This window comes from Homo sapiens, chromosome 18 (assembly GCF_000001405.40).
Source record: "Homo sapiens chromosome 18, GRCh38.p14 Primary Assembly".
In the NCBI taxonomy this organism is placed as follows: Eukaryota; Metazoa; Chordata; class Mammalia; order Primates; family Hominidae; genus Homo; species Homo sapiens.
Window position 1 is genome coordinate 330,602 of NC_000018.10, and position 12,551 is coordinate 343,152.

Sequence of the window (12,551 nt, forward strand, 5' to 3'; positions counted from 1 at the left end):
AAACTGATGCAATACAGTCATTGTTAGATCTTTGGGTAGAATTAGGGAAGGAGCTAACACCCCCTAGGGTAGGATGAGGCCCTGGAGACTTCTAGGTTATCCAAGAAGGTACCTCAAAGTGATTCTATTCTTTGTTGCTCCTTTCATAGAACTTAGGTCACATGGAACTTATGGGGAATCTTCAAACCTCTAGGGGATGGTTATCCCGCAAATGCAACTTTGTTTATAGTGTATTTTAACTTACTATGAGTAGGAAAATCACACATTTGTAGTTTTTTTTTTTTTTTTTCTTTTTTGAGATAGAGTCTTGCTCTGTGGCCCAGGCTGGAGTGCAGTGGCGCCATCTCGGCTTGCTACAACCTCCGCCTCCTGGGTTTAAGCAATTCTTCTGCCTCAGCCTCCCGAGTAGCTGGCATCACCCGCATGCGCCACCATATCCGGCTAATTTTTGTTTTTTTTGTTTTTTTAGTAGAGACGAGGTTTCACCATGTTGGCCAGGCTGGTCTCGAACTCCAGACTTCAAGTGATCCGCACACCTCAGCCTCCCAAAGTGCCGGGATTACAGGCGTGAGCCACTGTGCCCAGCCAGGAAAATTACTCATTTGTAGTTTCTAATCACACTCTGCCTAGAAGCCCAACTAGGGGTCAGGGGCACCCACAGTGTGATCCTGAAGGGAGCTCCCCAGTCCTTGGAAACACGCCTGGGGCGAACGCTGAACATGCCTGAGGTTGCCTGGGCTTCATCATCTTTTCCCATAGCATTTAAAGAAAATGACTTGGCCAGAAGTATTATGCTGTGTGGTTTTATGAGTTTCATGATTTTTTTCTTAGAAATGAAAAAAAATTCACTCCATGAAAAGAAGAAAGGAAAGCCTTATTTGACAGCGTATCAACTGTCAACCACGATTTCCCCAGGGGAAATATGCAACTGGTACCAGGAGCCCCGGTTTGGGAGGAGCGTCTAGGACACGAGGTCATTAAGGAAGAAACTGTTGGGAGTCGGGCAAGAAGTGACAACAGAACAGTGAGAGCCTGACCACCAATCTGGAAGCTTCTGAGTACTTACTTGTAGTCTGGAGATGTCCCATCCAGCCACTTCCATTCATTTTCACGCTCTGAGTCTGTGAGGCCGATCCAGTGGCTCTCTCTCCCTACCATCTGTTTTTTTATCCATTGCTGAAAAACAAAGCAGGGGTGGTGCGTGACTATTTTTCAGAACAGATGTCTCAGGCCTTTTTCTTTTATTTAACATTTAGAAAAAAGGACAATTTAAAAGAGGATGGTTGTCAGAATGTGTAGCCTGCTTTTGCTTTCTGCTTTTTTCTTGCTACTTGCTTTGTTTTGTGCTGTTTGGGGGGCTTTGACTTTTTTCCTCTTACAAGTTTACAACGGATGTTAAAGTGAGGCTCTTCCTCTAAATCACTCAGACAACCCAGTGAATGTCCATTGGTCCCACTTCCTCCTACCACCCACCCATTTCTCCCATGTCCTAATCATAGGAATAGTCATGATATTCTTGGGCACTTCCTCTGGGCTGGGCCCCACGTGCAGTGTGTTGCACGCAGTGTGTCTCCAAGCTTTTATAACAACCCACTGAACAAACATGAGAAGTAGCTGAGCTGGGCTTGGGCCCTGGTCTGTGTATTCTAAAGCCCAGGTGCTTGGTCACTGTCTGCCGTGTGCTCATTCCAGTCAGTTACTACAGGAAACATCTGTTTACAGGATTGTGTCTGCTGGAGATAACTTAGGGAGAAGGGAGGAGGCCACTGGAATTGGTGTGGTATCAAAGAAAGCGCTGCATTGTTGCTAGATGGGCTGCAGTTTTGGTCTCAGTCTGCATAAACCTTGCCGGGCCTCAGTTTTCCTAGCCGTCAAATGAGGGTAATAATAATACCTATGTTCTAGGGTTGCTGTGAGGTTCAAGGGAGCAAATGCCTCTCACGGTGCCTGGCATATAGAGGGTCTAATGAGTGGACACTAGCATTAGCATGCGTGGGCTCTGCCTCCTCAGCCTTCTTCGCTCTTCCTGACTCCTCTGGAGCCATGCGTGGTCCCTTGCACCCCACTCCATCCCTACAGTGTTCATGCCTCTCTCTGTCCCCACAGGTGCCTGGTGGCAGCCCTCAAGCTTCTCTGCATTATAATTATTTCAACAGCCACCAGAAGGAGCCACACATCTCCAGGCTTGATAGGCAATATCTTCCAGGAAGAATCATGAAGATACAATTCCAATGCCACGAATGCTTCTAGCCACTGGATGAAACCCAAATCTCTGTAATGTTGCCTCCCATGTTTACGTGACTAGGAATTCGTGATATCTCTGAATCCCCAACAAGCCTGCAATTTCCAGATGTAAACTATCCTTAAATTATAGTTTTCCCCAACCAAGTATGTGGCAGGCATACCTGTTCCTCTCTAGTGTTTATGAAAACAAGATGTGAAGACTTGTCTTCACAGAAAAGCTTTGCATCCTCAAAAATTTCTTTCTCAACTGAAAAATAGTAGCATTTGTCTGTGAAGTTCTTCCAGTGAGGCGGGCAGCCTAGGAATGCAAAAGTGGAAAACATTGATTAAAAGATCACAGAAAGCACTCTGCCTTTCTTCAGCTGTGTTTCAGAGGCCAAAACTGTGGTCCCGCTGGGAGCAGCCTGAGCGTCCCTGCACGAGGCCCACAGCTGACGTTCACGGACGTGCTCGCAGCAAGCATGACCCAAAGTGGACTGCAGAGCACAAGCCAAAACCACATAATCTGGAAAAGATCTTTGACTGGGTCTTTGTTCTTCTGTGTCTGGATCCGTCTTCACAATGACAGAAATAACAGAAGCAACAACAAGAAGCAGGGCAGGCACAGATGTTCAGCGTCAGTCTGGAATCATACGGAACCCAGGAACACTTGGATGTGAGAACCCAGCACCAAAACTGGGCTCACGGATCAACAAAAATAACCCGGGCCTCACCGACCAAAATCAAGTAGAATAGCGGTTGGGTCAAAGGAGAGAAAAATAGGCTTGGTTGCTAACCAAACATTCGAGTTTTGCCAAAGGTTTAATTATCAAAAGACTAGAAGGCACCGTAACATCTAACACCTTTCTCAAAAAGAAATTAAATGTAGTCATCAATAGCAGAGGGTTCCATCCACATGTTGATGGAGCTAACCGAGGGAGCCCATCTATCTCCAGAGTGAGGATGTAAAACGAGGGAAGAGCGCTCAGGGCGGCCAGCAGGCTTCCCTGAAGGAAATGTTTTGCATTGTGTTTGTCTTCTGAGGGCTGGCTCCTATAAATAAACAAGTGCAAGAGCCAGGTGCAGTGGCTCCCACCTGGAATCCCAGCACTTTGCAAGACTGAGGCAGGAGGGTTGCTTGAGGCCAGGAGTTCAAGACCAGCCTGGGCAACATAGCAAGACCCTGTCTCTACAAAAAGGAAAATAAAAAATTAGCCAGGTGTGGTGGCATACCCCTGTGGTCCCAGCTACGCAGGAGTCTGAGTGGGAAGATCACCTAAGCCCAGGAGGTCAAAGCTGCAGTGAGCTATGTTTGCACTACTTCACTTCGTCATTCCAGCCTGGGTGACAGAGTGAGACCCTGTCCCATACATACACACATAATACATAAAACAAATGAGCACTAGAGAACCCAATGGCGTTTAGAGAGAAACACATGCCTGGTATGGAGGCCTGTTCTGGCAGCAGGGCTCCTGTGCCAGCCCCTATGATGCCTTTGCTGTTAAATAATATGCAGCGGGGGACAAGACGTGGTGGCTCACACCTGTAATCCCAGCACTTTGGGAGACTAAGGTAGGTGGATCACTTGAGGCCAGGAGTTTGAGACCAGCCTGGCCAACACGGTGAAACCCCCTCTCTACTAAAAATACAAAAATTAGCTGGCTGTGGGGGCACACGCTTGTAGTCCCAGCTACCTGGGAGGCTAAGGCAGGAGAATCACTTGAACCCGGGATGTGGAGGTTGCAGTGAGCCGAGATCACGCCACTGCACTCCAGCCTGGGCAACAGAGTGAGACCCTGTCTCAAAACAAAAACAAAAACAAAAATAACATGGGTGGGGCCACACACTGGGGGTTGGCTCAGTCTCAAGCACATGCACTGCCCTGTCCCCCTGGCTGGAGGGAGGGCTTGGACTTACCATTGTCCTCCGGTGCTGGGGTTGGCTCATTCTGCAGGGCCAGGGGCACCACCGCTCCTGATGGGCCAGGAGGGCCGGGGGGGCCCTTGGGGCCTGGCATGCCTGGTACCCCAGGCAAGCCTGGCAGTCCCCGAGGTCCAGGCACCCCAGGCTCCCCAACGGTGCCCTGAAGTCCCTGGAAGCCAGGAGGGCCCTGAGGGCCGGGGAGTCCCTCTTTGCCTGGTGGGCCCGGGGGGCCTGGGTCCCCACTGGAGCCCTGAGGGCCGGGCTTCCCAGGGGAACCACGGGAGCCTTTGGGGCCCTGGGAGCCTTTAGATCCTTTGCCGCCACGCTCTCCGGGGGGACCAGCTGGTCCAATTGGGCCTCTCTCACCCGCAGGGCCAGGTGGTCCAGGCTCCCCCTTCTCTCCTTTCTGTCCCTTGTTGCCAGTTGGGCCAGGGGGTCCCTGGGATCCTCTGTCACCTCTTGGACCCCTGGGGCCCGGTGGACCTAAAGCATAAAAGAAAAAGGTGTCAACATGAAATCCACTGTGAATGATAGTTATGAATAATTTTTCTTCTTATAAAATCTCCAAATTAAAAAAACCTAGCATACAAAGTATATACAGCAGGGAAAGACCATCTGTTTATCATACTACTGTAGACTGTTATGGGCTAAATTATGTCCTCCTCCAAATTCTTATGCTGAAGTCCTAACCCCCAGCACCTCAGGATGGGACTTATTAAGAGACACGGCCTTTACAGAGGTCATCGAGTTAAAACGAGGTGACATGAGTGACCCTAATCCAATAGGACTGGTGTACTTAAAGAAGAGGGGATTAGGTCACAGACACATAGAGGAAAGATCGCTTGAGGGCACAGGGAGAAGATGGACTCCTGCAAACCAAGGAGGGAGGCCTCGGAGGAAACAACACTGCTGACACCTTGATCTTGGACTTGCGGCCTCCAGAACCGTAAGGAAAGAAATGTCTGTTGTTTAAGCCTCCCAGTCCGTGTACTGTGTACTGTGTATATGGCAGCCCAAGCAAGCCAATATACTGTGTGTTCTTCAGTAAGCTCACCCTTCTTCTTCAAGCTTTTAGAATGTATTGTAACAGTGCACAACGTTTTAGTGCCCCACTGATGTCCTTCATGGTGACACTGACAGCCAGGGGCTTATTCTTCACAGTGACTCACATGATTAAACTGGGTTCTCTTAGTCACCTGGGCCTGTGTTGTCATCAGCAGGAAAGTTGTGTAGACCAGGATCAGGATTTCCTCTTACTTATTTCCTCTTGTCCTTAATTTGGTAAATATTTATTAAAGGCTTATATGACAAGCACCGTGTTAAGGTATTGTGGGATAAAGAACTGAAGGAGATTGATGTATTAATTCTCTCCCCATAACCAAGCCTATAACTTCCCTGTAAGCTTCCTCTCTGTTGTACCCCAGCTGGCATGCCTGTGCTGTCCACCAAAGCTGTGGGGGTGCTGCTGTCCTTAGGGCTGGGCCTCACTCACCCATGGGCCAGCTCAGAGGGACGGGAGGTCTCTGTGGGAAAGCCTGGTGGGACTTTGCTGCCCATTGTGGACAGGTGTCCAAACTCTCTGGGTGGGTTTGTAAGTCTAATAATACACATAAGGAAGGTAGGCTAGAGAAAAAAGGTATGTGGACCATCTAATTGGGAAGAAAAGCGAATACTGCTCATCCCCATTATCCCACAAAGAGGCCCATGTAACACAGGATTGTTTTTCTTTCTTTAATTTCTCAGGGGTAACAGGAAATTTCACACAAATAATCTCCTACCAGGAACTGTATAGTGAATGACAATTTTCAGGGTACTTTCACATACATTATGCCACCTGACCTTGCCTGTGCGGTAGAATTCTCATTGCATAAATGAGGACATGTAGGGCCAGAGATGCCAAACTATTTGTTCGAGGATACTTAGCTACTAGGAACAGATACCAAGGAGAGTAAGACATGGTCAGTCACAATCTAGTAGTGGAGCTGGGGCATGAACTCAGGTCTTCTGATGTTGAAATGAATGAATCTTAGAGTTTCTGAAATCTCACAATTCTGCATGAATAAGTAAAAGGCCACACTTAATCTCTCTCTCTCTTTTTTTAGAGACAGAGTCTCACTCTTTTTTTTTAGAGACAGTCTCACTCTGTCACCCAGGCTGGAGGAGAGTGGCATGATCATAGCTCACTGCAACTTTGCACTCTTGGGCTGAAGCAATCCTCCAACCTCAGCTTCCTCCCATGTAGCTGGGACTAGAGGCTTGTGCCACATTGCCTGCTTTTTTTTTTTTTAATTTTTAATGTTTTTGTAGAGATAGGGCTCTCACTGTGTTGCCAAGGCTGACCTCGAATTCCTGGCTTCAAGCGATCCTCCCCCATCGGACTCTCCAAGTGCTGGGATTACAGGTGTGAGCCACTGTGCCTGGCCTTACTTTTTCTACAGAAGCAGAAAGCCTCTAAAGTTAGAAGGATAGAAGTGCTGGAGCAATGGAGGATGGATGGCAGATCTACCCTAAGTTCCTTTATCCCTCCTGCTCCTTGGCCTCCCTCTCCCATTGGTCTGAGGACAGGACCTTCCTACCTCTGTAGGGGGATCTCCCTGTCTCCTTCCCAACCCAGGTCTTGATGGATGTCTTCTGTACCCTAATATCCATGGCTCCCAGTCAAGCCAATCCGTCTGTGTTCTCTCTTAGCAGAAGCTTAGGCTCTGGACTTAATTTGCTTACGTAAGGCTACCCATATCTTGCTCACAGATTTATAAGCAGGACCCTCTTCCAGTGGTAAAGAGAGTTTACGCTAATGGCAAGGACTGGCCTAAATGCATTCTTTCTAGTGTTATCTGCTCCATAAATGGGAGACTTTAGAAGACTTAGGGATGAACTCACTTCTACCTAGACCCATGTCACTGACCTCTGCCCACAGCTCCTGTTGACTCCTCCTTGTCTTCAGCAACCCTGGGCTCTGGGTCCTTATTTGCACCCGCTAGTGAAGGGTCCATTTTCTCAGGTTCCGCCAGCACCTCTAACCTGCGTGTCTACAGCTGAACTTCTTGTCTCTTTGCTGTGCGTGTTCTCCTTCCATCATCCCTTCTCCCACCACATTGCCACAACCCTCTTTTCCTCGCCCTGACCCTGGTCATGACCCTAGTGTGGGCTCTCTTCTTCCCACCTCTCTCTGTCTTTTTTGGAAGGTGTTCACAGTAACTTCTTAATTGATCTTCCTACCTGTGATTCCTCTCCATTCATTCCACTCTGACTTTTGTCTTCCTTAAGCCCAGCTCTGATCTCCACTTGCTCAAGAATATGCAGCCCCACCTGATCAGTCTGGCATGAAGGCTCCTCCCAACCTAGTCTCGCCTGTGTTTATTCCATCCTCCTCTGTATTTTCCACACATCTCTTCTCCGACAATTTCCTCTGCCCATGTCCTTCTGCAAAATTCCTGGCATCCTCCCAGGCCACTTCAGATGGAAGTTTTCTCTTCTTCTCTAATCTTTTAGTCCTTGTTTGTTCTACTCAAGACCCTTCTCCATGTCTAGCCCCTTGTAGGGTCTGGCTCACAGTCACTATTAAGCAAGTGTTTATCAAATACATGCGCATCATGGTTAAAAAGTCCAGCACTCTAACGCTCACAATTTGTGCCCCAGGTGAGATCAGTAGGGACAGGTTTTTGGGGAAGGGTGACCTGCCTGGTGCCCCGCATCTTATAATCTCTGTATCAGGTGGGCTGTGACTGCCACTACGAAATAATCATAAGGAGATCCATCTTTCCTTGCTACTGACCCTCATGAATTAATCCAGTGGGTCTCCACATCCACAGTTGGACTTTTTTTTCTGCCTAACCTGGTCTGGCTCACCTAAATAGCCTATGCCATTTAGTAAAGATCGGGAAGGTAGACTTTTTGCTGCCAGATCTATCTCCTTTAAAAAAGTAACTTAGTGCCTCTGTGTAGTTGGGAAATAGCATCCCAGAGATGAATAGTGGTGAAGGTGTCACGTATGTTCCGCCACAATGGACGTAGCATTATGGATAGTTCTAGGGAAAAAATACTGACAATTTAGGCCAAAACAAAACAAAAAATTCTAGTGTATGTGGAGTAACTGCAAAATTAAAATAAACTTTTTTCTCAACTATTTCTGTTTTACTTATGTTCTGTGTTGAACTTTAGGAAATCCAAATAATGAAGATGGCATATTGGGAAATTCAAGTGTTTTAAGAAATAATCTTTAGCCTTATTGTCTTAATTTTTTTTTTTTTTTTTTTTGCTGATAATTTGTGTTTCTCCATCACTCACATCTGGGGTTGGTGCTATCCTTGCAAGTTATGGGAAATGAGTTTACCTGTGACCATGAAAGAGGGACTGATCACAGGCTTGTGTCTGCTCAGACAGACTGCTGGTGGGGGGAGCTGTATTTCTTCCAGAACACCTTCTTCTAGCTTGTGACAGAGTTCCAAAGATACAACTCTCCCTTCCTCTCCTGACATGAATCCAAGGCCTCCCTCACCTGGGGTGACAGCTTTTCATTCATCCTATTTCTTTCTGGGGTAGGGTAGTTTATGGTGTTCAGCTATTTTCCTCTGGACTGGAAGTGGCTATTGAATCTCCCCACCCAGTCAATGTGTAAGTTGTGGCTTACGTGAAGAATGACCTCAAACGTGGATCCCACAGACAGCACAAGATTTCAGCAGGTGCTAATCTCCAGATCTTGTGAAGGAAGGGAGTAAATATCGGGGGGAAATGCACGTTTTTGCCGTTGATAAAGATCTCCAGTTCTACTTGTGATTGACTTCCCAGCAAATTTCCCCATCCGAAGTACTACATCTATCCTAAATAGGTTACCTGTCTTTCTCTTAATCAGATAAGGCTTAATATTCCTGGCTGTGGCTAAACTGGCAAGCCCACTGTGATTGGTGTCTTCCATTACAGCTGCCCCAGCCTTCCAAAAACCACAAAGGAGCTGGCACTCTCTGCCCTCAGATGCTGGGTTAGGTCAAAACATATTCTATGTGTCTTATAGATCAGGAGATTCACATAATCTACTTTGGCTCATTAAGACAGGCTAGAAATTTCCTGGATTTTTTTTCCTTTAAAAAAATCATTGAGAAGAAGAGCTAAAGCCATTTAAAAAGTCAATACTGGCTCCTCATAAAAAAGTAGATTATTAATGCCAGGGTTGGTTTTCCTCTAGGACCCGGGATGCTGGCACTGCTGATTAGCATCTGGATGATCTCAGGCTTTGAGGTTGCACTTGAATCTTTTATTGGGCAGCTGTCAAGGTGAAAATAAAATGAAATAATGAAATAAAATAGAAGCTACCCTTAGTGCCTGAAAGCAAAAAAAAAAAAAAAAACAAAAAGAACAGAGTGTTTATGAGCTTGTGCAGCAACAACTTGAATTCAGAGTTGAGAAAACAGCAACGCCGCATGTGGAAACACATGTGATGTCCTACGTGGAAGGACATTTGAGGTTTGCTTTCAAACTGACTGAAATTTTAACTCAATGTCAAGGCCAAGTACGGGTGGCTCACTGGCTCGGGTTTCTGAAATGCCAGGATACCCACGCGGCTGGTAAAGCTGTCACAAGCTCCAGAGATGCCTGAATATGAACAATACCAGAGCTCCAAGCAGCCCGGGGTTTGTGCTGTCAGTGACACCTCTACCCCACGGTCCCCAGGCCCACGGTTCTGGGAGCCTTGAAAACCTGAATTTTCTAAATAAGCAGTTCAAAGAGGATGGAAGACTTTAAATCACTGTGCTGTTTGTGCTTTGGCAAACCAAACTGTAGGCCTGAGAAGTGCCCAGCCCAGTTTCCTACCCAAGAGAAGTTTCAAATGTGTTTTCCAACAAAACTCCCGGTGCTTAACAAAAGGAAGAGAAACCACTTTAATTCTTACTGCCATCCAAAATCTTAGAGACTCAATGTTAAGACCCACTGGTGGTAAGATTGGAAGATAGACAAGGTAGAGGAAAAACAGTGATACAATCTGATACGTTTTTCTTCTCATTTAAAAATCTACTTTGAATGCACTTAATCAAATATTTATTAAATGCCTACCATAGGAAAAAGTCATTGCGCTTCACTGAGGTGAAAAGGAATGTACAGATTAAAAAGAAATACAGTTGGGCTTTTGGAAAGCCTTGGAAGCACCTTGTCCACAGAGGAGGGTGTATTTAACCACTGTTTCTTGCCAATTGTCCATGGTCTGCTTCTGAGCCTGTTAATGGATGCTCTCCAGGATCTCCAGTCATGCCGTCTTGTTTGGGGAAGTGTAGCATGAGGGAGTGGTTGGCAATGGGAGGAACTGAGGCCCCTGCCTGACCCACATTGCACTGTCCCCTGTCCCGTCAACCTTCATGTGCACCTTTCAAGTTTCAGCTGAAATGTCAATCCCTATTGAAACTTTAACCAATTGCTCTGCTGTCAGTAAACTCTCTGTCATTTCCACCTCCCCAAACATGTCATCTATTCATGGTGGAAGCATGAATTTGCAACTAGACAGACCTGAGTTTGGCACTGTCTGCCATTTACTAGTTGTTTGGCCTTGGGTAAGTTACTCAGGCTCTCTGCGTCTCAGTTCCCTCCCCCGCAAATGGGGAATGTCAATAACTCCTCCCTTAAAGAGTTGTAACAATGAAAGCTGATAATTTATCCAAGTGCTTAGCAGCGTGATTGGCATAGCATAGACACCCCAGAAATGTGGACTGAGAAAATGAGTGAAAGCTAGCTAGATGTCAGCATCCTGGGGTCTGATTCATCTCTAAGGCTGGGCACTAGAAATCCAGCAGTAAGCACTTTTAGACTCAAATCATCCTTAACCCCACCTGTGTGATTTTATTCTTTGTGCATATGAAGCTGTTTTGTTTTCCACTGTAATGTACTGGCTACAGCTGCAGCAGAAGGGAAAGCTTTGAAGGAAGTGACCTTATTTACATTTGGGTGTTATGCTGACCCCACTCTAGACACTGCATTAAGTACTTTCTTTATATTACATCTTTGGATCCTCATAACTCTAAAAGGTACACACAGATGAGGAAACAGAGGCACTGAGAGGATGAGGAACTTGGTACATGAATCCAGCTCTGTCTGATTCCAGAGCTCTTGTTCTCACTCATTAAATCTGATGACTCTCGGAAGAGCAGAGAGGGAAGATGTCTGATTGTACAGGAAGGATGCAACTGATGCTTTCCTTAGCTTGCAGAGGAACAGCCCAGGAGGTGGAGTGATCTTTGTACCTAGAAGCATGTGTGAGAAGTCTTCTGTGTACATAATTAGAATAAAAATCTTTATATGATTTTTATCAAAAAATAAGGTTTTCTTTTTTCTTTTTTTTCTTGAGACGGAGTTTCACTCTTGTTGCCCAGGCTAGAGTGCAATGGTGAGATCTCAGCTCACCACAACCTCCAACTCCCAGGTTCAAGTGATTCCCCTGCCTCAGCCTCCCAAGTAGCTGGGATTACGGGCATGTGCCACCACGCCCGGTTAATTTTATATTTTTAAGTAGAGATGGGGTTTCTCCATGTTGGTCAGGCTGGTTGCAAACTCCCAAAAAATAAGGTTTTCTTAACAAGGCTTCTTGGTTGATGGATGTAGAGATACTGTGAACATCTATCTCTACACTATCATCTGCCTTCGGCACAGTCAGTCAGCTTCAGCTCCCAATTCCTAATGCGGCAAATGTCTATATGGCTGAACTGGACAGTGAGCACTGGGGTTCATCAAGTGCGAGTCAACAGGAATTTTCCGGAAAGCATCAGATTATTTTGAATCTTGCAGATGCCAGCCCCACATAAGCCAACGTTAATCCATCCTGCTTTATCCATCTGCCCTTCATCCTCTGGGATGAGATCTGCATGTACAGAAAGGGAAAGGTGCTAGAGAGAAAAGGTGTGGAAGAAAACACTTGCATTCAGAAATGGAGTTCCTTCTTCCCCTCAGTCTCTCGTTCCCTTAGAATACCTGCTGGGCATTGCTGGTCTGGAGGCAGTGGAATAGAATGAATAGAAAGGGAGCAGCTTGGTTGGCTTGGGAAGCTTCTCAGATCAACTCACAGAAAGTGCAGTGAACAACAAGACCAGTGATAAATGTGATAGTGTCTCTGAAACACCTTGGAGCCTGATTTCAGAATTGAGATTTTCTTTATCACATATGCTTTTCCATGAGTCGGAAACCTCATTCTATTATAATAGACATCATCCTGTTAACGTGTCTACATGGGCCTCTTTTTCTGCAGCTCCCCAGTCTGTATCACCATCCACCTCACTGCTCATGCTAGAGACTTAGGAAACATCCTGTTCCTCTCTTTCACTCACTCCCCACAGCCAATCCATCAGCAGGTCCTGCCTGCCAGTCTCGTCCAGACACTCACACCAACCCCCTACCATGTGTTCAATTTCTGTCTACATCACCCCCAA

General features: G+C 46.4%; 1 protein-coding gene across 2 annotated transcripts in view; it reads right to left on the minus strand.

Annotated features, from left to right (window-relative positions):
- COLEC12 (collectin subfamily member 12) overlaps positions 1–12,551 on the minus strand; it is a 183,965-nt gene that overhangs the window by 13,865 nt on the left and 157,549 nt on the right. For both annotated transcript variants that reach the window (XM_011525741.3, NM_130386.3), the window contains 3 exons: positions 4,141–4,629; positions 2,406–2,542; positions 1,067–1,176 (listed from right to left, as the gene is read on the minus strand). In XM_011525741.3, the coding sequence (XP_011524043.1) occupies positions 1,067–1,176; positions 2,406–2,542; positions 4,141–4,629 (736 nt within the window). The remainder of the gene's footprint in view (positions 1–1,066; positions 1,177–2,405; positions 2,543–4,140; positions 4,630–12,551) is intronic.